The following is a 25,129-nucleotide window of genomic DNA, read 5'->3' as shown; positions in this document are numbered from 1 at the left end:
TTAATTAGGTATTACCTCTGCGACTTTGCAGAGAAAGAAATGGAGTCTCATTTCAGCCCAAGGTCAAATACTTATTAAGAGGCTCAGGATTATAGTCCATGGTCTCTCTGGCCAGAAAACCTGTGCTTTTTCTAAGATGCCTCTTCTAACCTGTTGCAGAAAAATTGCCCTGCTTTTGGTCCATTTGTGTCTATGTAATTATGGTCAATACATATCCACCCCCAGCTCTTTTTGGGCAGGCTGTAAGGTAGCTTGTGGAGGACATGCTACCTCCTGTGGTGCTCATGGTCAGGTAGCCTGTCTTGCCACCATTCAGAGCTGAATTGCTTTTTTTTTTTCCTTTCTTTCTTTGAGACAGAGTCTCACTCTGTCACCCAGGCTGGAGTGCAGTGGCATGATCTTGGCTCAGCACAACCTCTGCCTCCCGGGTTCAAGCAATTCTCCTACCTCAGCCTCCTGAGTAGCTGGGATCACAGGTACCCACCCCGATGCCTGGCTAATTTTTGTATTTTTAGTAGAGACTGGGTTTCACCATGTTGGCCAGGCTGTTCTCGAACTCCTGACCTCAAGTGATCTGCCCACTTTTGCCTCCCAAAGTGCTAGGATTACAGGTGTGAGCCACCACACCTAGGCTCTGAGTTGCTTTTTATTAGCGTCAGTGCCTTGCAGATTATTCTTTCAACGCTTCCTTTTGCAGTCTCAGCATTTTCATCAACTGACTTGTGAAGCTGTGCAGTGAGGACCAGGGCTTAAGCCCTGGAGGGCAGCTGGAGGGCAAATCACACTGCAGAGGCTGGTTCTATTGCCTGCACTCAAGATGGCAAGACTGTGAGAGACATTAAACTTGCCCAACAGACAGAATAAAACCTACATGGACTCACTCTGCTTCACTCCACTAGGCAGATGTCCTTGTTACCATGTGGTTCATTGCCAGTCTTGCTGAATTCAACCTGGGCACCCCCAACCTTAGTTGGCACATGTTTTTTTGCTTTCTGCATTATCAGTGCATCACTTGATCCAACTTGCCCTGGCAGAAGATGCAGCGATGGCAGATAGGTGCTTGTTGCCCATGAAAATATGGTTACGTAGTCCAAATTAGAGGAACAGCTTTTAGTTCTTATTGGTTATCTCATTGAGATAAACTTCTGAGGACCAGAGTGGACTCTCATTTTGGAAGCATGATTCTTCAGGTGTTTTCTACCTCTGGCTACCAACATTCAGGAAATATTTACTGAGTCCCTCTTTTGCCCCAGACACTGTTTTGAACACTGGGTTTAGAGTAGTGAACAAAACAGATACGCTTACCCATATGGAGCTTGTGTGCTAGAAGGGAGAGATAGACACAAAAGAATAGAACTAGGTAAAATATATAGGATGACAGAAAGGATTAGTGCTATGGAGGAAAAGAAAGTAGGGGAGGGAGTTAGGTAGTACAAGTGTATTAGTCCGTTTTTCACGCTGCTGATAAAGACATATCCAAGACTGGGTAATTTATAAGAAAAAAAGATTTAATGGACTCACAGTTTCAAGTGGCTGGGGAGTTCTCACAATCACAGCGGCAGGTAAAAGGCACATCTCACATGGTGGCAGACAAGCGAAGTGAATGAGAGATAAGCTATAGGGGTTTCCCCTTATAAAACCATCAGATTGGCCAGGTGCAGTGGCTCATGCCTGTAATCCCAGCACTTTGGAAGGTCAAGGAGGTTGGATCACCTGAGGTCAGGAGTTCGAGACCAGCCTGACCAAAATGGTGAAACCCTGTCTCTACTAGAAATACAAAAATCAGCCAGACATGGTGGCACATGCCTGTAATCCCAGCTACTTGGGAGGCTGAGGTAGGTGAATCGCTTGAACCCAGGAGGCGGAGGTTGCAGTGAGCTGAGATGGCACCACTGCACTCCAGCCTGCATGACAGAGCAAGACTTTGTCTCAAAAAAAAAAAAAAAAAAACAGATCTCATGAGACATATTCACTATCATGAGAACAGTATGGGGAAACCGCTCCCATGATTCAATTATCTCCCACTGGGTCCCTCCCACAACACGAGGGAATTATGGGAGCTGCAATTCAAGATGAGATTTGGGTGGGGACACAGTCAAACCATATCAACAAGTAAGGTGGGAGAGTTTCAATTTTAAATATGGAGTGGTCAGGGATGACTTCACTGAGATGGCGGCATTTGAGTGAAAACCTAAAGGACATGAGATAATGAGCCATTTGGACAGCTGGGAGAATCTGCATTCCAGGCAGAGAACAGCAAATGCAAAAGTCCTGAGGAAGTGGCAGAACGCAGGAGCAATGAGGAGGCTGGAGAGGCTGGAGTGGAAAAGGATAGGAGGTAAGGTCCGAGAGTTTGCAGAGGCACTAGAGCATGCAGGGTTCTGAGGCCCATGGTAAGAATTTGGCTTTTATTAATACTTGCATCAGATGAGAAGCCACTGAGCAGAGAGTTGACATAAATGATCACTCTGGGTTCTGTATTGGGAAAAATAAATTCTATGGGAGTGTGGTAGATTTAAAAAATATGTCCACAAGTGCCTCGATGCTCCTCTCTTTAAAGGATGGAGCCTAACCTAATCTCTTTCCCTTGAGAATGGGCTGGACTTAGCGGCTTTCGTCTCACAAATAGAAGTGGGGGTAGCAATGGTGCAGGAGCTTGGAGATTGAATCAAGGGGCAATACAGCCTCCTCCTGGCTCTCTCCCTCTTAGCTCTCTTGCTCTAAGGAAAGCCAGCTGCCATGTCATGAGGACATTCAAGCAGCCAAGGGAGAGCCCACCTGCTTAGGAACTGGAGCCTCCTGCCAATAGCCAGAGAGAAACTGAGGTCTTCATTGATGGTGAACAGCCACGTCAATGAACCATTTTGGAAGTTGATCTTTCAGTCAAGCTTTCAGATGACATCTCTTTCTTTTCCTCATTTTAAAAATTGTGGGCAAGTACACATAACATAAAATGTACCGTCTTGACCATTTTAAAGTATATGGTTTAGTGGTATTGGATACATTCGTCGTGTAGTGCGGCCATCATCACCATTCATCACCAGGACTCCTCTCTTCTAGTAATACTGAAACTCTATGCCCATTGAACAATAACTCCCCATTATCTCTTTCCCTCTGTCCCTGGCAACCAGCATTCTACTTTCTGTCTCTATGGTTTTGACTACTCTAGGTACCTCATGTAAGTGGAATCGCCTAGTATTTGTCTGCTTGTAACTAGTTTATTTCACATAGCATATTGTCCTTCAGAAAACATCTTGACTTCAACCTCATAAGAGACCTTGAGCCAGGATCACCCAGCTAAGCCACTTGATTTTCTGTTGTTTTGAGACAGGGTCAGGCCCAGGCTGGAGTACAATGGTGCCATCTTGGCTCATTGCAACCTCCATCTCCCAAGTTCAAGCGATCCTTCCACCTAAGCCTCCCGAGTAGCTGGGACTACAGGCACACACCACCACACCCAGCTAATTTTTTGTTTTGTAGAGATAGGGTTTTGCCATGTTGCCCAGGCTGGTCTTAAACTCCTGATCTCAAACTCTAATCCTCCCACTTGGCCTCCCAACATGTTGGGATTACAAGACGAGCTACCACGTCTGGCTCACATACATATTTTGAATTCCTGTGTCCACCTTTGAAAGTTTTCTATTTCCTTCATCATTCCCACCAGAATCCATTGTCACATTGCAATCTGTTCCTTAGGGCTAAGAGAACTGAGAATGCTTATTATTTTTTTTTTGAATGGGGTTCAAAGAAGAGTGACAAAGTGAGAGAGTGCGTGGCTGATGGAATCTTAATTTTTGTGCTGCTGCTTTTGCTGCTTAGGAATTTTGCTGATCATCAGTGGCTTCCTCGCTGAGCTGCAGGTAACTGAGGTCGATGGATATTTGACTTTCTGTGCATGAGCCAAAATCTCGCCTGATATTTGCTTCAGTATTTTGCTTTCATTCTTTTGCAGAAACATTCATGCTTTGCCGAGACAGAAATAAAGAGATTAATTGCTAGAAACTCAGACATGTGACTATACAAACAGCATATTTCAGAGAAATTTTTAAAAGTTCTATTGTGGGGGGAAAAAATAAGAATTCTACTCCTCCCATGAGAGCTGATGACAAGGGAGCTGGCTTGGAGAAGTCCTAGAGGGAGAGAAACCCTGGGGCTGGAATGGAAGGGTGCCAGGAATTTATGTCTCCAGTAACTCTGAGGAACGCAGTTTTGCATTAAAATTTTAAGTGGGGCTGAAATTCAGACAGAAAGGATTTTGCCTTCTCCAAGAAAACTGTGATAAATAACTGCAGCATTGACTTAGGGAAGACACAAGTAGTTGAACTAGAAAGTGGAACTGGAGTTGACTCTAAAAACCTAATTTATGGATTACCAGGTTCCCAGTCAAAATGACTAATAATTCTGGGGCTGTAATTACCCACCTGTAGGCTTTACTTTTTTCCCTCAAATTTCTACTTTTTTTTTGTATTTTACAAATTTTTAATAATGAACATGCACTCCTTTTATAATATAAAAAAATCCAATTAACTTAATTAGAAAAAAATTGCCCACCAGGTGATGGGAGGTTTCTTGTTAATTCATCACCCGGCATCATACTCTGCCCACCATGGAACAGTTATTTTTGTGGCTAACTCTGGGTGAGGTGTTGCAGGGGTGTGGTAGGGGAGGGTGGTGATAGGAAGGGTGAGGGGAAAGACTGTTTCTTAGAGCACTGTCTAGAAGAGAGACCCGAGCAACTCCCTCTGAGGGGGAGCCACGTACATCGCCTGGCTTTCAGTGATTTCAAGGGGGAAGGGGAGCGGAAGAAGCAGAGGTTCTACTGTGGCGGGGGAGGCTATGTATCTGGTTTTGTCACATGATATCCACTGTCATGGAAGGCCTTGCATTTGGAAATCTGAGTTTGGTCCAAATGGGAGCCTGGGAGAGAAGTCTCAAACCGTGCCACCTGTCTTCATGCTGTGTAGTTCCTGCAAGGGGGGCAGGGATGGAGCAGCCAGCCCAGTCTGCCTCCCACCTGGCCCATCTTTTGTCTTCTACTGATGGGCTTGCTGGGGTAAGCAGTCAGCTTTGGTATTGATTGAAAATTTACAAGACTTTTTTTTGTTTGTTTTCTTTTCCTTTTTTGAAGACAGGATCTTGCACTATTGCCCAGGCTGGAGTGCAGTGACACAATCATACTCATTGTAGTCTCGACCTCTCTGGACTCAAGTGTCCACTTGCCTCAGCCTCCCCAGTAACTGGGACTACAGGTATGCACCACCATGCCCAGCTTCAAGACCTTTCTCTGGGTTAGACCCATTCTTGGTGTTTGGTGTCCTGAGTAGAAACTTGGGAAGGTCTGGAAGGCTTTACTCAATGTAAATGTCATGATTAATTTTACTTTCATCTAAGGGAGTCAACATCATATAATGAGTGGCTGCTGTGTGCCCATTAAAGAAATAAAGGGCCGGGCACCGTGTCTCACACCTGTAATCCCAGCACTTTGGGAGGTCGAGGCAGGCGGATTGCCTGACCTCAGGAGTTTGCAACCAGTCTGGGCAGCACAGTGAAACCCCATCTCTACTAAAATACAAAAAATTAGCCGGGTGTGGCGGCATGTGCCTGTAGTCCCAGCTACTCAGGAGGCTGAGGCAGGAGAATTGCTTGAACCCGGGAGGCGGAGGTTGCAGTGAGCAGAGATTGCCACTGCACTCCAGCCTGGGTGACAGTGAGACTCCATCTCAAAAAATAAATAAATAAAATAAAATAAATAAAGAATTCAATCCTTGTCAGCTCAGTCTCCAAATGGAAGTCTTCTCTGTTTCTCAGAAGAGCAACGCAGGGATTCCAACATCACACACCACAAATGGGGGAGGAGGAATCTAGTCACAGTTTACAGTGAGATTCAGAGGATTGCAAATGAGAATAGAGGAGACAGTGGAAAATTAAAATGCAGCCTCACAAGGGAAAAAGTGGTATCTGGAATTTGAAAGAATGTTCATGCTCTGAAAGCAGCACTCATGTCTAGGTAGAGTTAATGTATGGCATCTTCGTCATAATCGTTCCATTATTGATTAACTTCACATTGTGCTTCAGTTAGTTAATTGTAGCCTTTTCCTGTTTCTGGCTCTGGTGTCTAAAAGCAAAATAGACCCTTTGTTATGCTCTCAGAAGAACTATTTACACATTTTGATTTGGCAAAGAACAGTTCATTTTTTTTCTGGGACTTTCTGGCTTTTTTATTCCACATGGAATATGCAAGCAAAACTGGCTGAACTTTGAAATAGCAGCTAAATCCTAACAGCACTACAGCATTACTTGCCTTGCTCTTCTCAAATGGCTATATTTATTATAAATTAAGTCAATATTCTGCTGTAGAAAAGTCACTGTATAACGGGTACATCTGCCTACTATGCCTAGTCCCAGAACCATGAGCCTGTCTGGCATAGATCATTCAGTTTTGCAGGCATCCCTCTATGGAATGTGGTTCTCTCCCCTACAGAAGGGTCCCCACTGTACTGGGGGAGGGGAGGTTGTAAGCAAAGTCATCCGTCCCTTGGAAGACGTCCTGACCTCCCCAGGACTGAACTTTCAACCTCTTGAGCTGACAGTTAGTAGTGGATGCACAAATTTTGCTTGCGACTAATTGCAGCTTGTAAATGGAGCATTGTGGCTCCGGAAAAGAGCCAGCAGTCTCTCTTCCCAGGGTCACCCAAGTGGAATCTGGACACAAGAAAGCCTGTCCCCTAATGGGCGTCCTCCCTGAGCCCTTCCCAACCTCTCAGGCCCTGGGTTTGTCTCCATCAAGTAGAGAGCTAGAGGGCACAGCAGGAGACTCCTCTGCAAATCTTCTTCGAATGCCGGGCTATTCATAGTAACTTGCAGCTCCCTCAGGAATTCCCACAGACTTCCCAGAGCTGACTATTGTCTCCCCACCCTGCAGCAGTGGCCTTTCACAGACCCAGGGATATACACGCCATCTCAAAGCACAAAATGCTTTGCAAGCCGTCCGTGAGATGTTCACCAAAGAAACTACTGGAAGTTGAGAGGACGAAAAACAGAGGCAAGTTGGGAAGGTAGAATAAGATTTTCCAGCAGATTAACTATTTATTTTTAGTTTCACAAAGCAGACACAGATTGTAATTGACAAATAAGCTATAGAGTGCCATGGAACATGAAGTCACATTTCTTTTTCTTAAAGGCAGGACTAGGTATGCTCTGAGCATCTCTGATAGAACAGCTGGCTGTACATGTGAACCACAAACATTCAGTTGTAAAACAAAAGGGGTAGCCAAGGGTGACTTTTTTGTTTTCTCTGATAGTTTCATTGGACTGAGGTGGTAGCTAATATCATCCTGTATCCTCAGACCATGAAAAGAACATAAGGAACTCTGTGAAAGTGTGGAGTGAGCTTTCCAGGCAAGCATCATATTGTTCTCAGTTAATCAAATTTGTCAAATTGTTCCCAGTGCCTTAGAGCTAAAGGGTAATACTTAGGACCACAGTAAACAAATCCCCAGCCATCTGCTCTGACAGCTGTTGGACCTTGAGCACGAACTTGTATTCCCAGAGTATTCTGAGAGCCCTTAGGCACAGGGATGTACTAGAATGGTTCGACCATCAAGTGGCCAAAGAAAGGTTAAAACTACTAACAGCCCTGGGATATGTATTCCCAGCTAGAGGTGTCCCAGGAATAAGCAACAGGAGCAAAATTCTCCCTTTGTTCATCAGTCTCTGAGCATTCCAGTTTCTGTGTCATCTGGATATTTTCTCAATACCTTCAGCTTGGCCTTAAAAATCAATGCAGTTAGTGAATTGCTTAGTTGAAACTGAACACATCTATTGATGCCGAAACAAGAGCTGTGCACTTCCAACCAATTTAAAGAAATCTGCTTGGATGATCTGTTCGATTCTGTGCCTCTCGAATGTGAGGGCTCAGAGAATTCCCTTGCAGTTTCAGTAAATTATTTCTATGAAAGTTGTTTGCCTTCACAAGTTAGTTTTTGTGTGCCAATTTCATTAGGCCAATTGGGTGTCATAAATGATGTTAGAATAGGGTGATCAACCAACCCAGTTATGCTGAGACTGTCTCAGTTTTAAAACTGAAAATTCTACATTCTCTGAAACCTCCTATTCCGAGGCAAATGAATAGCTCGTCATTTTACCAAGTAATTTCCCTTCCAAGTCAAAATGTCCTACTGAGCTTGAAAGTGTAGCAACTTAATAAAGTCTTGAGTTTCTGAGTTTAAAATCTTAGTGGAGCACACATTAAAAGGGATTCTTCTGAAAGTGACAAGGGGCTTACCTGGGGAGGTCAGTTTGATTTGAAATTATCCAAGAGTAAGAGGACTCTTTGTGACATCTGATGGGTGGGGGAGCTCGGTGTCCAAGTATACCACACTCAGTAACCACACATAGGTATTTAGTAGCCAGCGTTTTCATCTTTCTTCCATGTCTTCAATTTCTGATACAGAAAAAAAATGCCAGACAGATTTTTATAAATGTTCTCTTGGGACATTGTACATTTCCACTCATATACTTTTATGCACTTGGGAAACATGTGAAAAGGAGGTCAGATGAAAGAAATATTTAAACTATGTAAGCCTCTCTTACTACATTCTTAGAAGATCAAAGTCATTTTGTGCATTAATGTTTTTCCATATCTAAACTTTATATTTGGCTTCATTTATTCCACTCAATTTGACCTAACTCAGTGCTTTTTAAACTCAAATGTGCCAGTGAATCACCTGGGGATCTTGTTAAAATACAAATTCTGATTCAGTATGTCTGGGGTGGAGCCTGGGATTCTGCACTTCCAACTAGCTCCCAGGTGATGCTGATGTGGCTGGTCTGAGGGCCACAACTTGAGTAGCAAGATTCCAGGTGACTGTAACTACATTTTCTTTACTCTCAGGAAATTTCTCAAAAGAGGGAAGAAAAAATATTTTTAAAGGAATGGAGAGAAGAAATTGTGTTTTATATTCTCAAAAATAATGTCTGCGGAACAGTGAATACTGTGTGTTTTAATGCAAAACACAAATGCAATTAGAACTGACCCAAAACATCAGCCTATCTAGGAAAGGAAGGCGGAAGGAACGAAGTAGAGGAAGTTAGAGGGTGTGGCCATTGAATGTCTGTGGCTGGAGGGAGGCCACTCTTTTCTCAAGCAAAGGTACTTACCTTTTCTTCTACCACTCTCTTTCCAGGGACATCAATAGCCAGGATTCCCCTTCCAAAGGTTGCTGTAAGTGTGAGCAGCACTTTGGTTATGAAGCAAGAGAATGTTTTATTCTCTTTCAATTGGTTGTGAGAACCCTACAAAAAGATCCATTAGAGATGAAAAATGAAGCATGCTCTGAAAAGCATACCAATCTTTTCATGTTCATTATAGTTTATTGTGTTTCTGAAGACACAAAAACAGATAATGAAATACATAAGTAGAAGAGGAAATATCATTAAGTCAAATGCCTGACAGAAAATGGATTATACTAAAACACACACAGTTCTGATAGCATTTTACAATAAAAATTGTTTATGTGACTCAAGGATTTCTGTTGCTCACACAGCCCTGGTTGACACATATAGGGGCAGAAAAGAAATTTTGGGATTAAGTATTTTAATTATTTAAGAACAAAGTGGATGTGCCTCAGAAATGGATGAGATGTTTCACCCAAATTATATCAGTCATGACCTTGGGAGAGTTTACATCCTTTTCCCTGAAGAGGAGCATCAAATGTAGCTGATTACATGGTCACTAAGCACCCCCACAAAACAAATCTTTCAATGTATGTTTACATTCCATGGAAAATGTGTAGCCAAGGCTCTGACCAATATGACTTATATCTACTGCTCTTACAGGAGTTTCAGGCTGAAAGAAGAAACCCTTTTTTCATACAGGTCATCAAAGCAGAGGTGGGCCAAATTATGCTCCATGTTTCTTTGCATTTCTACAAAGGAGGAGCATATAATGGAATAAATTGAGTTCAATATTTTTCCTTTACCTAGAAGCTTGCTTCTGTTTAATTTCTCCCATATTTTTGTTTTGAACAGCTGGCTGCTCATAAATGGTCCTCTATGTGTTTTGATATGATATCCTCAGAGACCCTCTTAGATTGTGAAATCCTAGTGAGTGGAGCTGTTTATTTGCTCATCATCAAGACAGGTGGTCTCTCAGGCCAGCAGACACTTCTTTAGAGAGCAGTCTCTGGGCTGCAGCTTTGACTCCAGATGGGTGAAAACCACTCTGTTACATCTTAGGCTTCACTTGCTCTGTTTTTTCTTGGTATGGCTGTGTGGGGGCTGATGATAAGAAGGACCGTGAAGGAGGATCAGTTTTATTTTTCTGCCTCTGCCACCTTCGTGTTCACAGCCTCTGGCTTGGAACAATGCACACACCTCTAGAACGTTGTCACCTCTCATCAGATCTACAAATTGGGTGCTTGCACCAGTGGAGAAGCCAGCTCACAGGCAACTGGAATGGTTTTAAGTGTCCTGCCTTGTTTCTTTTTCTTGAATTTGCTCAGACATATGCATAGATTTACATGATCTGTCCATTTGTATATACTTTGGGCACTTAACCTTGCAGCTACCTATTTCTATTTAAAGTCATAACTTCCCCCACATTTTCCTGATCATGTTCAACTCTGCAGTCTACGTTGCTGAGAACATTCTGTCATTCATTCATTGAACAAATATTTGAGTGCTTTCTATGTGGCAGGCATGGTAGTAGGTGCTGGGGTACAACATTGAATAACACAAAGCCCTTGGCTTCTTTCATTCTAGTGGCAGAGTGGAGAGACAGTCAGCAAACAAATAAACCAATAGATATGAACTGTATTAGATGGTAATAAGTCCTAGAGAGAAGAATGTACAAGGTTAGGAAGATGGGGGTGCTGCAGGGGGGTGCAGGTATTGCTCTTTTACATGGAGTAGTCAGAGAACTTCCCATCTGGAGCTACGACTTGGGATTGTACTTTGTACAAGTCCATAGGTTGCTTTTCTCCTCATGGTTATTATAGGTTGTGTTGCTGTGAAAACTTTCTGGCAGATAGGATCAAAGTACTTGATTAAGAGGGTGCCCTTTTTTGAAATTGTCCTTTGGGACTAGTTGTAGGCCTTGATAATGCTGAGATTTTAGCAGCTCCGTGGAGGAAGTGAGGCAGTGAGTCATACAGCTATATGGGGGAAGTGTATTTCAGGCAGGTGGAACAGCAAATGTGACGTCCTGAAGCAGGAGCAATTCATGGTGTGTTAGAGGATGGGGCCAGTGGCTGGAGCAGAATGAATGAGGGGGCAGGCATGGGAGGTGAGGCCAGGGGTGGAGGAGGACCCACCACAGAGGGTCTTGGAGATCATTGCAAGGACTTTGTCTTTCATTTTAATAGAAACAGAAAGTCAGTGAAAGGCTTTGAACTGAGAATTGATATGGCCTGATTAATATATATTAAGGATCATTCTGGCTGCAATGTGAAGAACTGATATAGGGCAGATATGAGTGCAAGCAGACAACGATGAGGCTATTGCAATTGCCCAGGGGAAAGAATATGGTGGGTTGACCCTTTGGGGTAATAGTGGAAGTGGTGAGAAATATTAATTCTGCTTTAGGAGAAGCCTTTTATATGAATCCTGAGATCCATTAACTTCTTGTGCAATGTGGTGAAAATCCTTCTCTTGCATATCAGGTGTATTTCAACAATTAGTGTCCCACAGAAAGAATGGTGGAACCTCAGAGTTGGAAGGGTCTTAGAAGCAGGACATCTAGTGGAGGAAGAGTGAAAACAGAGATACTTGGTCCGATCTTCAAGCTTGTGTAGCTCTTACATTTTGATAGGGGGGAAAGGAGGAAACTGATGCCTCAATAAATGTTAGTTTATCTGGAATTCACAGTGGTCCCAGGCTAGGGAATCTAAAGGTGGAGACTGCATCCTAGTGTGAGAGAGCACAAAATCTGAAAGCTCCGATCTAACTCAGTTCTCTTTTGAGGCTATTTCAACCTGTCACACAACGCAGAGATTACCTGCTCAGCATCCCAGGTTGCATAAACCTAGCCTTGACTACGTTTCCAATGGAAGAGTGCTTGTCATTTTAAGGTAATTCACCATGATGTTGGACAGCTCCAAGCATCTGGAATATTTTTGTTTGTTTGTTTGTTTTTGTTTTGTTTTTGTACAGAGCTGAAATCTCTCTCTTCTACCCATTCTGTCCTCTGCAGCTAGGCTAGCCAGTAAAGGCAGTGGAAGAATATTGGTTAAGAGTATGGTTCTGGATCCAGATGGTCTAGGTCAGGATCCAGGTTCTTTGTGAACTTGAGCAAGTTGATAAACCTCAGTTTCCTTAATTTGTGCCTCAGTTTCCTCAAAAGCAAGGTAGTACCTATAAAGCACTTAGAAAAAGACATGGTACAGAGATGGTGTTCAAAAAATAATGGCCATATGATTAATTATTCTTTCATGTTGTTATGAATATGAGAATCTGACCCATATTTGAGCACCACTCTCATGAGGCTCTGCTTTTCCTGTAATTTGCTTATTCCTATTAAATTTTGTAGTCCTCACATGATTCCTGGTAGCAATTATCGATGAAATTAACAAAAGCAAAGGGTTTGGTGTTTGCCCTGGGGCAGCAAGAAAAGAGGAATTACTGATAACTGGTTTTGGGGTTCAGGCATTAACCTGAACCCAAGTTGTTGGTTCTCCAGCATTTAAGGTTGACCCCATCTTAAATATAGATCCATAAGGCCCATATCATTTGGTAAGCAGTAGTTCAGGATGCAGTGGAGTAGTGTGGTTGAAAATCTAGGTTTTGGAGTCTGATTTTTCTCATTTGACTCCAGTTTTGACACTTATTCTATAACTATGGGCAACTTATTTAATCATAATAATATATTCCTTCAGTTTATTGTCAAGATCAAATGAGAATATATTCACAGTGCTTTGTACGATGTAGGAGGTCAAGAAATTCTAGTAATAATTTTAAGTTATAGAAATGAATTTCTAAAACAAAGTAATAGGGTTTGGATCTGAGTCCCCACCAAATCGCATGTTGAATTGTAGTCCCCAGTGTTGGAGGTGAGGCCTAGTGGAAGGTGTTTGGATCATGGGGATAGATTTTTCATGAATGATTTAGCACCATCTGCTTGGTGCTGTTCTCATGACAGTGAGTTAATTCTTGCAAGATCTGTTTGTTTAAAAATGTGTAGCACCTCCCCCTTCACTCTCTTCTCTCTTGCTCCTGCTCCCACCATGTGAGATGAAATTTGCCTTCTGCCATGATTGTAAGTTTCCTGAGGCCTTACCAGAATCCAGGCAGATGCCAGCATCTTGCATCCTGTACAGCCTGCAGAACTATGAGCTAATTAAATCTCTTTTCTTTATAAATTACCCAGTCTCAAATATTTCTTTATAGGAATATGAGAACAGACTAATACATAAAGTCAATTCTTAGAAATGACCATGTTCAAAAGTAATCCAAGCCACATTCTCTGGGCTTCATAGTGCATCTTAAGGAGGAGAAGAAGGAAGGAATATTAAGACCTACCTTCCTGGCAAGTGAAGGTTCCCAGTGCTCAAAGAGGCTTACTGCTAGAGCCAGGTGGAGCTGCTCTCACATTCACAAGAAATGTAGGAGACTCTGAAGTTGGCTTACCCTGACACCCACCCATCAACTGAAAATTTAAAATGTGCTTGAACTCGTTATTTCGTAGCAGATAAATTTTTTTAAATAAATTTTTTTCTTGAATACAACAAAATACGTGTCTATTATAGAAATGCAAGAAAGCATAGAATAACCCAAAGAGGCAAACCGGGTTTATTTCCACTGCCCAGAAGTTGCCCTTGCAAGGTTTTTGCACAGCACCTTAGGTGGGTAAGCAACATAAAGCAGGGCTGTGTCTTTCTGGCCTAATCCCAAGACCTTAGAAAGGAATGCAGCATCATGGTACAGAAGAGTGATTAGTAAAGAGTGGCTGGATGAATGACGATAATCATGTCTATAAATATATTTTTACCCCCACTGGGGATAAAAATTGCCAGGTAGATTTCTTTCCGTTGTTGTTTCACTTAATTGGATCCTTTTAAATATTGAATATAAAGCCAGTGGTGAATATAAGTAGATCCTAAATGTGCCAAGAACACAGTCTTGTGTTTTGCCCATGTGGAGGTCCATAATCCAAGAAGTGTCCAATGGGCTTCTCTCAATGGATCCCGAAAACTGACCAGGCTGATCTCAAGTAAGTGGCTCCCACCCAGAAATCCCTTCTCCTGAGTTTTTTTTAACCCCACTTTCACTCATTTGGAGAATTTCACAAACATTTTGGATTTAGGAGAATTTCCACTTCCCTCCCCTACATTCAATTTTCTTTCTAAGATAATGGGGTACCATTTATTTTATGCTTGCAACAAGCCTGATACTTTGCGAAACTTCAAACTGATATCATCTCATTTAATCCTCATAACAACTCTGTGTTGGCTATCACCATTCTTACAGAAGAAAAAGCAGAGGCTATGGAAGGTGCAAAAACTTGCCCAGAGTCACATGGCGGGCAAAGGGCAGAGTCTAGTTCAGGTCAGTCTGACTCCAAAGTCCATGCTTCAACCACCTGGATATGCCATCATGAGAGTTTATGTTTAATCTTGAATATTGTTCTCTATACTTAGCTTTATAAGCATGAAGCTATTATATTACCTCCAGCGGCATCTGAAATGTCAAAATAATATCTGGAGTGGATGTACCATAATTTAAATACTCAATCTCTTGCCCCTCCTTGTTAAACATGTAGGTTGTAGAGAATGTCAGAGCAGAGATGCCCAATATTTAAAGCTCAGAGAGCGTAAGGAAGAGCATCCTATTGTGGAACCCCAGGAGTGAGGTGGTGGACAAAGTAAAAGCCAGTTAACATAAAGGGATCACGTGGAAACTGGGTCCTGGGCATCTTGCACTTTCCTAGAACCCAACATGTGGCTCCCAGGAAATTACAGGAACACTGAACAAGGAGGCTGCAGAAGGGTAACAGGAAAGGTTTGTGTTTGCATTTTCCCCACATCTGGTTTTTGCCCATCTGAACACGTCGTAGGGCTAAATTACAATGTAATAAATTACAAGGGCTTGACCATCAGAGCCTTTTTGGGGTATGGGAGGGAAACATCCAATCCTGCTTTGCTGCTAGGTCTCTCTCTCTCTCTCTCTCTCTCTCTCCCCCTTTCTCTGTCTTCTGAGGAATCTGAAGGATGACTAATAAGGGGTAAAAGAGACTCATCTTCCTCTTCCTCTCTCTCCCCCACTCCCAGGGCTGGGTCTTTCTGCCCTCAGAAACCCTTGGACGCTGTCAGTGATTGTTAGAGAGAGACTTTTCGGGCTGAGGCTTCAGACACTGCCCAAGGGCAGATTGCTGGACTCCCAGCCCGAGCCCTGCCTCACGAACAATGAAGACCCTTCAGCTTCTCCCTTCAGCTGTCTCAGGGCCATCCCGGGTGAGGTGGGGGTGGGCGATCAAGTGAACCCCAGCTCAGGAGGGCACAAGGAGGGAGGTAAAATAGCACGGTTAAAATCAGAGTCTTTTTGAACCCCGGGTTAAATTTCCAGCCCTGCCATTTATCTGTGTAACTTTGATTTGTGTTAGTTAACCTGAAAGAACCTCAGTTTTTCTATCTAGAAAATGGTGATGATAATCCTTAACAAAGAGAGGCTGAAAAGATGAAATAAAATGAAACCATTGTGCCTGTCAATCAGTGCATGTTGGCTGATATTGATATTGTCAGCCTAAGTGTATGGAAGAATTATATTCTCTCTTCTATTTTGTAAAATGCTTCTGACTATTTTTGTGTAATTTTCTACTTAGTTAAACTCATTCATTTTTGCCCGGATGGGTTAATTTACTAACCCTCCCTTACCCACCCTTCCCAAAAGCTTTTGTTCTTCTAGGTCCATGGCTTGGAGAAAGGAGACGTAGGTCTTTTTTGTTTGAAGGATACTGGGGCTTGAGGCGACCCTCAGGTGACCTGTTCCAGCCGGAGAATCTAGCTAGAGAGAAGTTTGCAGGAGACACAAGAAGCTTTTGTGACTTTTTTTGTTTGTTTATGAATATTTAAAAGCATGTGTTATTCTTTGTACGGTGTGTATAGAAGCTATTCAACACTTGCAGGTGAATGATAAGATACTCCTTTTTCAGGACAAGAAATTCCTTTGGCATTCTCATTTTTTCAGTCTTAAGAACCCAAAAGAGAAAAGTATGACTCTGAGAGGCTTCCAAATGGGAATTAACACCACTCTATGATCTGTGCAGTTGTTATTTGCAATACAACACAAGCACAGAGGACATAGGGGGAAAAAAGAAGTATAACCAAGGGACAAGATTGTAGTATATTTTCTCATGAAGAATAGAAAACAATTCTCTCCTAAAACCAGATTGAGACAGCTAATTGGAGCCTTTGGGAGACACCATTGACGAGACACTCAGAAAAGAATTACTCCATTTTGCAGTTCAGTGTGTCTCAGATCTTAGACTGACCTAATTTCAACAAAACATAATATTATGAAAGAAAAAAGTTGTATCCCAATAGTAGGAAGTGATTGTAGGGTTAAAGGGTGCCTGTTTGGTAAGTGTCTACTTCGTCTTCTTATTCCTTTAAGCTCCTCCACTCCCTGGCACTCACCCTATTTCTACTTTCAAGGATAGACTCTGACATTTCTTCTGTGACTAGAGTAAGTCATCCTTTTTCTTTCTGGAATTTGGGTTCGTAAAACTGCAACCCTTATATTTTAAAAGAGACTCTTAGGACAAAACTGGAAAAAAATTAAAGTGATGAATTGTTTCTAGAAACTATTTGATTCAGGAAACTTTAAATTACCAAGAATACTCATGGTTAATTATTCTAGATTTGGTTTACCCAAATCTCAAAATTAACTGTGCATATAGTTTGCTTGGATTGATACATGTTGATGATGTTTACCGCAAATAATCCCTCAAAGCTTAGAATCTATTTTTACTTTTTCCCCCAAGTTAGAATTTAGCCTTTGAATACATTTTGTTTATAGTTATTTAAAATTCCATGTAAGTATATAAACTCCCACTTGCTCTCGTTTCATTTCTCTGCCATTTTTGCAGGCAATTTTTACATGAAAGTTGTGTCACTCTTAACAACCTAGCCTTATTTTCTCATTTCCCTTTAATGGTTTTGTGTTCTAAGTTCAATTTAAGAATGGATTGCTTACATTTCACTTACAAATCTCCCTTCTAATCACTGTTATTAATACCACAATTTTGTTGTAATATCTGTAAGAGCACAAAATGTGTCCTCTTAAAGATGCATTTGCCAACCGCTGACTTGCATACATTTCAATTACAACTCTCCCTTGTAATTATTATTATTAATATCACAATTACTATCTTAATATCTATAAGACTGCAGAAGGTGGCCTGTCAAGGGTGCATTTACAAACAGCTTTTTCAGTTTCCTCTTAAGAAAAATGTGCCAGACTTTATCTAAATTCAACCTCCCCTATGATTTACATTAGACAACACACTCCATCAATAAAACCATCAAAATGATCTACTGCATTGTAGACAAAAGTTATTGTGTCAAGTTGACACTAATCAGTTAATTCCAGTAAACCTTCAGATAAACAAAAGCTTGTTGTCTATTACTGATGTGTGTGATGGGTCTCTTGTATATCCTATGGTTGTGCCCATCTATAGAGATGTATTTGGCAGACACTTGCCCTGAGGCATCTATATGGAAACTGAGACAAGATCTATAGTTAATGATGTTGACCCTGACTCCCCTAACAGAGACTGAATTCAAGTCCTCATAATATCTCGACAGCTGATATGTATATTGTGCTAATAATATTAACAATTACTATGCCACTGGGATTCCCCAGGCCCTGGCTTAAAAAAAAAAAAGCTATTTTAAAGCTTCTTTCCTTATATGAACTAATTTCCTTGTTTATGCCCATCATTACTCCTTTCTCCCCATTGAGACAAGAATGTGTTTCTAAGCAGAGAAAGGCTTTTCTTAGTAGAGGTATTTTGTATTAATAAGAAATGCTGTGTGAGTTCATCAACTTCTGGAAGGGCTAGCAGTACTAGTGATGCTCTAAGGAAACATTTATAGTCATCATTTCCCAGTCAGCTTGGGCTAGTAGAAACCGAGAGAGCTAGCTTCACATTGATGTTGTTGATATTGGTCAGAAGGAGGCATTCAGAATGTCAGTAGGCCCTGCCTGGTGTGGCTCTCCTTTGGACATAGGGAGACAAGACTGCCAACCCCTGCTTGGCATGATTGGGTGGCTGAGGCATCAGAAATTGCCCTTGGGGCTCCTGAGTTAGCTGCCCAGCCTTGGAGAAAAGTGGAGGGATTGAACCAGATCTCTCCTCTTCTCCCGGCTTCTCCTTCCTCTGCAAATAAATAGGAAAGGCCACGGCAGGCTCACAGGCCACAGAGAAGCTCAGGATGAAATGTTGACAGGGGGCACTGTTAAAAATTAAATTCTGCCCTATTTTGTGTACCATTCTTGTGAGTCACATTCGTGAATAGTAGCGAGAGATTTAATGATCGCATATTTTTTATCTTATTTCCCTTCAGTCGATGGCAATTTTTTTCTGTTAATGTCAACTTAGAGCTCAAAGTAATTTAGTAATTGATTCTAAGCACAGCAGTTCGCCAACGGCAGCTCTCCATTTGTGGGGAATATCTCTGCTAATTTTATCCATCAGAATGAGATTACCATGCTAATCTCTCCCATCCTCATCTCTTGGTCATTTGGGACATGCTGATGCAAATGACTTATTAGACACAAGGCCTTCGTCCATCCCCAGTATCAGAGAAAGATGAAAGGAAGCCAAGATAAGGATATTTCAATGCCCGTACAGACACAGATGGTATGCATGCCTAATACTAAAATGATAATACCCTAAACTGGAAACCCAAATAAAAACAAGTTATGACAAATGAAAAATACAATGGATCAAAGTATATTAAGTACATTGATGGGGAAGAACAAAAAGAATTAAGGCAGAACAAATGCATCTGGGGACGTGTAATTGGAAACTTAAACATTCATTGAGCCAGGGAAACCTAGAAAGTCATATGTCAGGTGGAGGGAGGGGGGTACCCTTAATGAGATTAAGTGGAGAAAACCAAAATGGCTGTGCTAACAAAAAGATTGAGGCTGTGTCTACAGACACAATCTGTTCGACTGTTTTCAGTGAATGACTGGTTACTGACCAAGTTAGCTATTGGTTGCTTGTCTGATTCAATTAAAATGCTCAAACCAATGTAAGCGTGTATGGTAAAAATAGCCTGAAACTAGTTTGGGTTACATATACACAATAGGGTATTGTATAACACAATGGGCTGAAAGGCCTTCCAAAGACATTGCTAGTAAATGGATACATTTTAAAATGCTTTGCTTTATGAAATAGCAAAATACTTAGGGGAAGTTCAGAAAAAAATAGTTTAAATACTTCAGGTAAGAAGGGGTTTAAAGAAAGAAAACAACTAATAAAGTAGCTGGGTGAATGTTTATGGAGACAGAAAACACCTCAGAGAGATGGAGTGTTTGTTTTAACACCCCTTAACATTTAGGATGCCAGATATGAGATCAAAAAAGGAAAATCTTGATATTAAGCATATAAATAAATCCTATATTATCTCTTCCATGGAAGAAATGAGAAATGGACATTATGGTCATTTTACCTTTAAAAAGCCAAACATCATGCCTGTAATCCCAGCACTTTGGGAGACCGAGGCTGGCGGATCACGAGGTCAGGAGATTGAGACCATCGTGGTTAACACGGTGAAACCCCGTCTCTACTAAAAAAAAAAAAAATACAAAAAAATTAGCCGGGCGTGGTGGCGGCCGCCTGCAGTCACAGTACTCGGGAGACTGAGGCAGGAGAATGGCGTGAACCCGGGAGGCGGAGCTTGCAGTGAGCTGAGGTCGTGCCACTGCACTCCAGCCTGGGGGACAGAGCGAGACTCCGTCCGAAAAAAAAAGAAAGCCAAAAACTTTATTACCAAGTTAATAAAAATATATCATAAAAATTCTAGAACAAAATGATTTCCAAGTTTTAATCATTGCCTCAATTATTTCAAATGTGATATATATATATATATACATATATATATATATATACATTTTTTAAAGATACATTTTAAAAAATGTATTTATATATACTTTTTTTTTTTTAAGACAGAGTCTTGCTCTGTTGCCTGGGCTGGAGTGCAATGGCATGACCTTGGCTCACTGCAGTCCCCACCTCCCAGGTTCAAGTGATTCTCTGCCTCAGCTTCCTGAGTAGCTGGGATTACAGGCGCGTGCCACCACGTCTGGCTAATTTTTGTATTTTTAGTAGAGATGGGGTTTCACCATGTTGGCCAGGCTGGTCTTGAACTCCTGACCTCAAGTGATCCACCTACCTCAGCCTCCCAAAGTGCTGGGATAACAGGCGTGAGCCACTGCACCTGGCCAAATGTTTTATATTCTAAAGCTGTTATGTAACAATAGCAATAGCCTAAAAATAGGGCTAAAACCCCTCAAATGCACGCTGCTGTCTCATACCCCTAACCTCACACTTGATATCATCCCTCCAAACCAGGATTTTCTCCTGACTTTTCTTTTCTCATTAAGGTGGCACAGTTCCCGAGTTATCTTTAACTCCTTTAAGTCATGGCATTGTCTTGGAGTCCTTGTCATCATTCTCCTACCACACAATTGCCAAATCATATAGATTCTCACTCTCCCCATTGTTTCCATCCTTATTGTCAATTCGCTTATTTGAGTGTTTTTTCTAGCTCTGTCACCTGGGCTGGAGTGCAGTGGCACGAGCTCAGCTCAGCCTCCAAAAGTCATCTGGGTCTTGATCCATTCTTGTCTATATCCTTCTCTGAGCCTGCTCTTCTCAGCCTCCCCTCTGAATCATCTTCCATGCTACTGTCAGATTACTCTTTTTGAAAGCATGCATCTAGATTGGGCTGGAACAACTATGAGGCAAGTGGAGAACTCACCTAGGGTGTCAAAGTTATGAGGGTAAAAACTCAGTAATCAGAATCAATATTGCTTTAAAGAAATATTTTTAAAAATCAAAATGAATGCAAAAGTCATCCATGACAAACAAAGCATCAGTATTTAAAATAAAGAGCAGGATCCAATCCTGCGCTTGTGTGACCTCGCCTCACTTGCCTTACCCTAATCCCATCCCTGGTTTTAATCACTTTATTTACAAAAATAGAAAAAAGGAACAGGGGGTTGTTGTCTGCTGGGTGTGTGTGTGTGTGTGTGTGTGTTTCTTTTTTGAGATGGAGTCTCGTTCTGTCACCCAGGCTGGAGTGGTGCAATGGTGCGATCTCGGCTCACTGCAATTTCCACCTCCTGGGTTCAAGGGATTCTTCTGACTCAGCCACCACGACTCCTGGCTAAACTTTGTTATTATTAGAGATGGAGTTTCGCCATGTTGGTCAGGTGCTGTTTTTTTTTTTAATATTGCATTATAATATTATTTAACTCGATTATTGAGTTTTGTGGCGTGCTGTACTCAGCTGACCCTAGTCCCGTCCATGCTCAGTGATTTGTCCCATCAAGTGCCAATTCCACATCCTGACGTTTCAGGATTTTTTCACATGGAGATAGTATGATTTAGCAATTAACTTCATGGGCGTTGAGTCAATCCTAAATACAAATCCTCGCTCTGCTGCTCACTAGCTGTGGAAAACTTGGGCACAAGATTTTGGTCTTTCAGTTTCATCATCTGTAAATGAAGATTAAATACAGTTTACAGAAGACATTGCCCTATTTTCCCAGTCTTACCAGTCCACTGCCACAAAAATACTCAACTCTCTATACATTGTTTCTTATACGTTTTGTCATTTAAGCCTAATGATCACCATGTTACACATACATGATGCTGACCCTCCAGCCTAAATTTCCTTCCCCTTCAACTTCACAAGTTAAAAGATACTAACAAACTTAAAAAGCCAGCTTTAAAACCACCACTTGCATGAAGGCTTTCCTAAGTTCCCCACAACCCTGCAACAACAACAGGCAAATATTGAGGGCCTATGATGCAGCAGTCATTTGGGATTCAATGGTAAACATGACCAGGGCAAGTTTGGCCCTCACAGAACACAGTCAAATGGCAAAAATGAACAAATAAACTATTAACTATTAAACATGTCAAATAATTCTAATGCATTATAAGAAAATCAATATGATTATATTTCCATTAAGTATAATCAAATTAATTATAAAGTACTTAAAAATAACTACAGGCTGAGGAAACAGTACGTGCCAAGGTCCAGAGCCATAGGAGCTCAGACTTTGTGCTCAGTGTGCTTGAAGAGCTGAAAGAAAGCCTGTGTGAGCTGAGGGGAGAATGGCAGGCTGCATTTCTCTTTGAACACAGGGGTCACTTTCATATCTATTTCTTATGACAATTATTTCCCCCCACTTTATATTCTGGTCAATGGTACCCTTGTCTTGTTCCAGTATTAGAAACAGTTAAGAGCGTGGGTTTTGTAACCACAGTGTCTAGTTTAAATTCTGGCTCCGTTGCTTATTAGCTAAAAGACTATGGACAAGTTTTAACCTCTCTAACACTATTTTCTTGAATTGTAAAATAGGAGTGATAATAATAGAACACACCTCCTAGGGTAATTGTGGAAATTAAAAGTGAATGCATGTAAAGCATCTATAATAACACTGGTACAGAGTGAGTGCTATGTCAAAGTTAGTTATTATCATGATCACCATAACTAGTCTGTAAGTGGCCTGGCACAGTGGCTCGTGCCTGTAATCCCAGCACTTTGGGAGGCTGAGGTGGGTGGATCACCCAAGGTCAGGTGTTTGAGACCAGCCTGGCCAACATGGCGAAACCTCATTTCTACTAAAAACACAAAAATTAGCTGAGTGTGGTGGCGCATGCTTGTAGTTCCAGCTACTTGGGAGACTGAGGCAGGAGAATTGCTTGAACCAAGGAGGCAGATGTTGCAGTGAGCCAAGATAGCACCACTGCACTCCAGCCTGGGTGACAGAGCAAGACTGTGTCTCACAAAACAAAACAAAACAAAACAAAACAAAACAAAAAATCCTAGTCTGTAAGTTCCTTTAGAATTGCTTGTCTTTGCATTAATACAGCAACTTGCACACTGTTTAACAAATAGTACACTCTTTAAAAATGTGTATTGAATCTAGTCACAGGTAGAACAGAAGACTGATTTTTTTTTTTTTTTTTTGAGATGGAGTTTCGCTCTTGTGGCCCAGGCTGGAGTGCAATGGCGCGATCTCGGCTCACTTCGACCTCCACCTCTCTGGTACCAATGATTCTTCTGCCTCAGCCTCCCGAGTAGCTGGGATGACTGATACATTTTTTTGTAAACACCAGTGGCTAGATAGTTATAATAGAGGTTTAAATTCTTTATTTGGTACCTTCTTTATCTGTTCTTTCCTTTCTTACCAACTGAAAGAGATGATCTGTAAAGAGGGCTCAGGCTGAAATAGCATTTAGCAAGGGCCACCAGCATACAAGTGTCTAATATCATCCTGAAACCCATGCTACTCAAAGTTAACATTATCTTTTCTTTCTTCATTTAAGACTGTTTAAGAATTTAGCCTATGTCAAATGGCAATTTTGAAAAACATTTTGCTGATGGAGCTAGTCTGAGATTTTATATTCATTTGCTTCAGGAGGTTGCAAAAATTTTCCACTCTCAGGAATAGGTTTTTCTCGACTAGGAGGGCTGTTATAGAGCATTTCTTACCATGGCCTTTGATATAGGAGCATAAGTGTATATGATCCACCTTAGACCAAGTAGTTTTGATCTTGCAGATAATCTGGGATCTTAAAGAATATATAGGTGACGCTTGAACAATAGGAGTGTTGGGGTACCCATGCCGCATGCTGTCCAAAATACACATATAACTTTTAACTCCTTAAAAACGTAACTACTAATAGACTACTGTTGACCAGAAGCCTCACCGGTAACATAAACAGTCTATTGATATGTATTTTGTATAATACTGTATTCTTCTAATAAAGTAAGTTAGAGAAAAGAAATCGTTATGAAGAAAATCATAAGGAAGAGAAAATATGTTTAGTATTCACTAAGTGAAAGTGGATCCTGATAAAGTCTTCATCCTCCTCATTGTCACATTGAGTAGGCAGAGGAAGAAGAGGATGAGGAGTAGTTGGTCTGTCCCAGGGATGGCAGAGGCAGAAGAAAATCCACATAAAAGTGGACCTGTGCAGTTCAAACCCATGTGTTTTTCAAGCGTCATCTGTGTGTGTGTATGTGTGTGTATATGTGTGTGCGTGTGTGTGTGTGTAATGTGGCAGCGTCTTTAATGAAAAGACGCAAACGTCAATGGGAGCCACATAGTAGAAAACAAGCAACTTGAAAATATGAAAATATTGTTTACAGATGTTTTTATTGCGAATCCCTTGAATTGATTATCTCTCTTTACATACATATAGTGTATAAAGTGTGCTATTTTGATTATTTTATTTTAATTTTTTTAAAGATGGAATCTTGCTCTGTTGCCCAGGCTAGAATGTAGTGGTATGGTCTCGGCTCACTGCAGCCGCCACCTCCAAAGCTCAAGAGACCCTCCCACCTCAGCCTCCTGAGTAGCTGGGACTACAGGCATGCACCACCACCCCAGCATATTTCTGTATATTTTGTAGAGATGGGGCTTAGCCATGTTGCCCAGGCTGCTCTTGAACTCTTGAGCTCAAGGGATCCACTTGCCTCAGCCTCCCAAAGTACTGGGATTACAGGCATGAGGCATGGCATTCAGCCACTATTATTATTTTTACATATCTTGGAATATTTTGTTAAATTGGTCTTCCAACAAATCTATTACTATATTTTAATTTGGGAAATCATGTTTTAATATTTCCAAAGCCATTTCTTTTTAAATTATTCAATGTCTATATAATGTTTTCCTATGAATCCAAGATCTCTGAATTTTTTCTAGTATTTGGAGTCTTTCAATTTTAAAAATTTCACTTCTTACTCCTCACATACCTATTTCTTATTTTATGTTAACTTTTCTGTTGTTTTAATATTAGTGCTTTACCTTCAATTTCTGACTTTTTCAAATGTCTGATAAATGTTTTATCTCTTGATGGAATCTTACCTTAGACAAGTACTGGCAC

The 25,129-nt window shown here is 41.3% G+C and overlaps 1 long non-coding RNA gene across 1 annotated transcript in view, besides 1 other annotated feature; it reads right to left on the bottom strand.

Moving 5' to 3' along the window:
• Positions 6,673-6,967: a silencer, noted in NCBI's record as "tiled region #462; K562 Repressive non-DNase unmatched - State 24:Quies". NCBI's record gives its function as "represses a minimal TATA promoter and a strong SV40 promoter by Sharpr-MPRA in K562 cells {active_cell/tissue: K562}" and the evidence as "EXISTENCE:reporter gene assay evidence [ECO:0000049][PMID:27701403]".
• PHOX2B-AS1 (PHOX2B antisense RNA 1) overlaps positions 7,062-25,129 on the bottom strand; it is a 48,089-nt gene continuing 30,021 nt past the window's right edge. Inside the window, exons 2-4 of the long non-coding RNA NR_187403.1 lie at positions 9,160-9,294; positions 8,285-8,443; positions 7,062-7,769 (exon numbers count right to left, since the gene is read on the bottom strand). This is a non-coding gene — a long non-coding RNA (PHOX2B antisense RNA 1). The remainder of the gene's footprint in view (positions 7,770-8,284; positions 8,444-9,159; positions 9,295-25,129) is intronic.

The sequence above is a fragment of the Homo sapiens genome, chromosome 4 (genome assembly GCF_000001405.40).
Source record: "Homo sapiens chromosome 4, GRCh38.p14 Primary Assembly".
Classification (NCBI taxonomy): Eukaryota; Metazoa; Chordata; class Mammalia; order Primates; family Hominidae; genus Homo; species Homo sapiens.
This window is presented reverse-complemented; position numbering and strand designations above follow the sequence as displayed.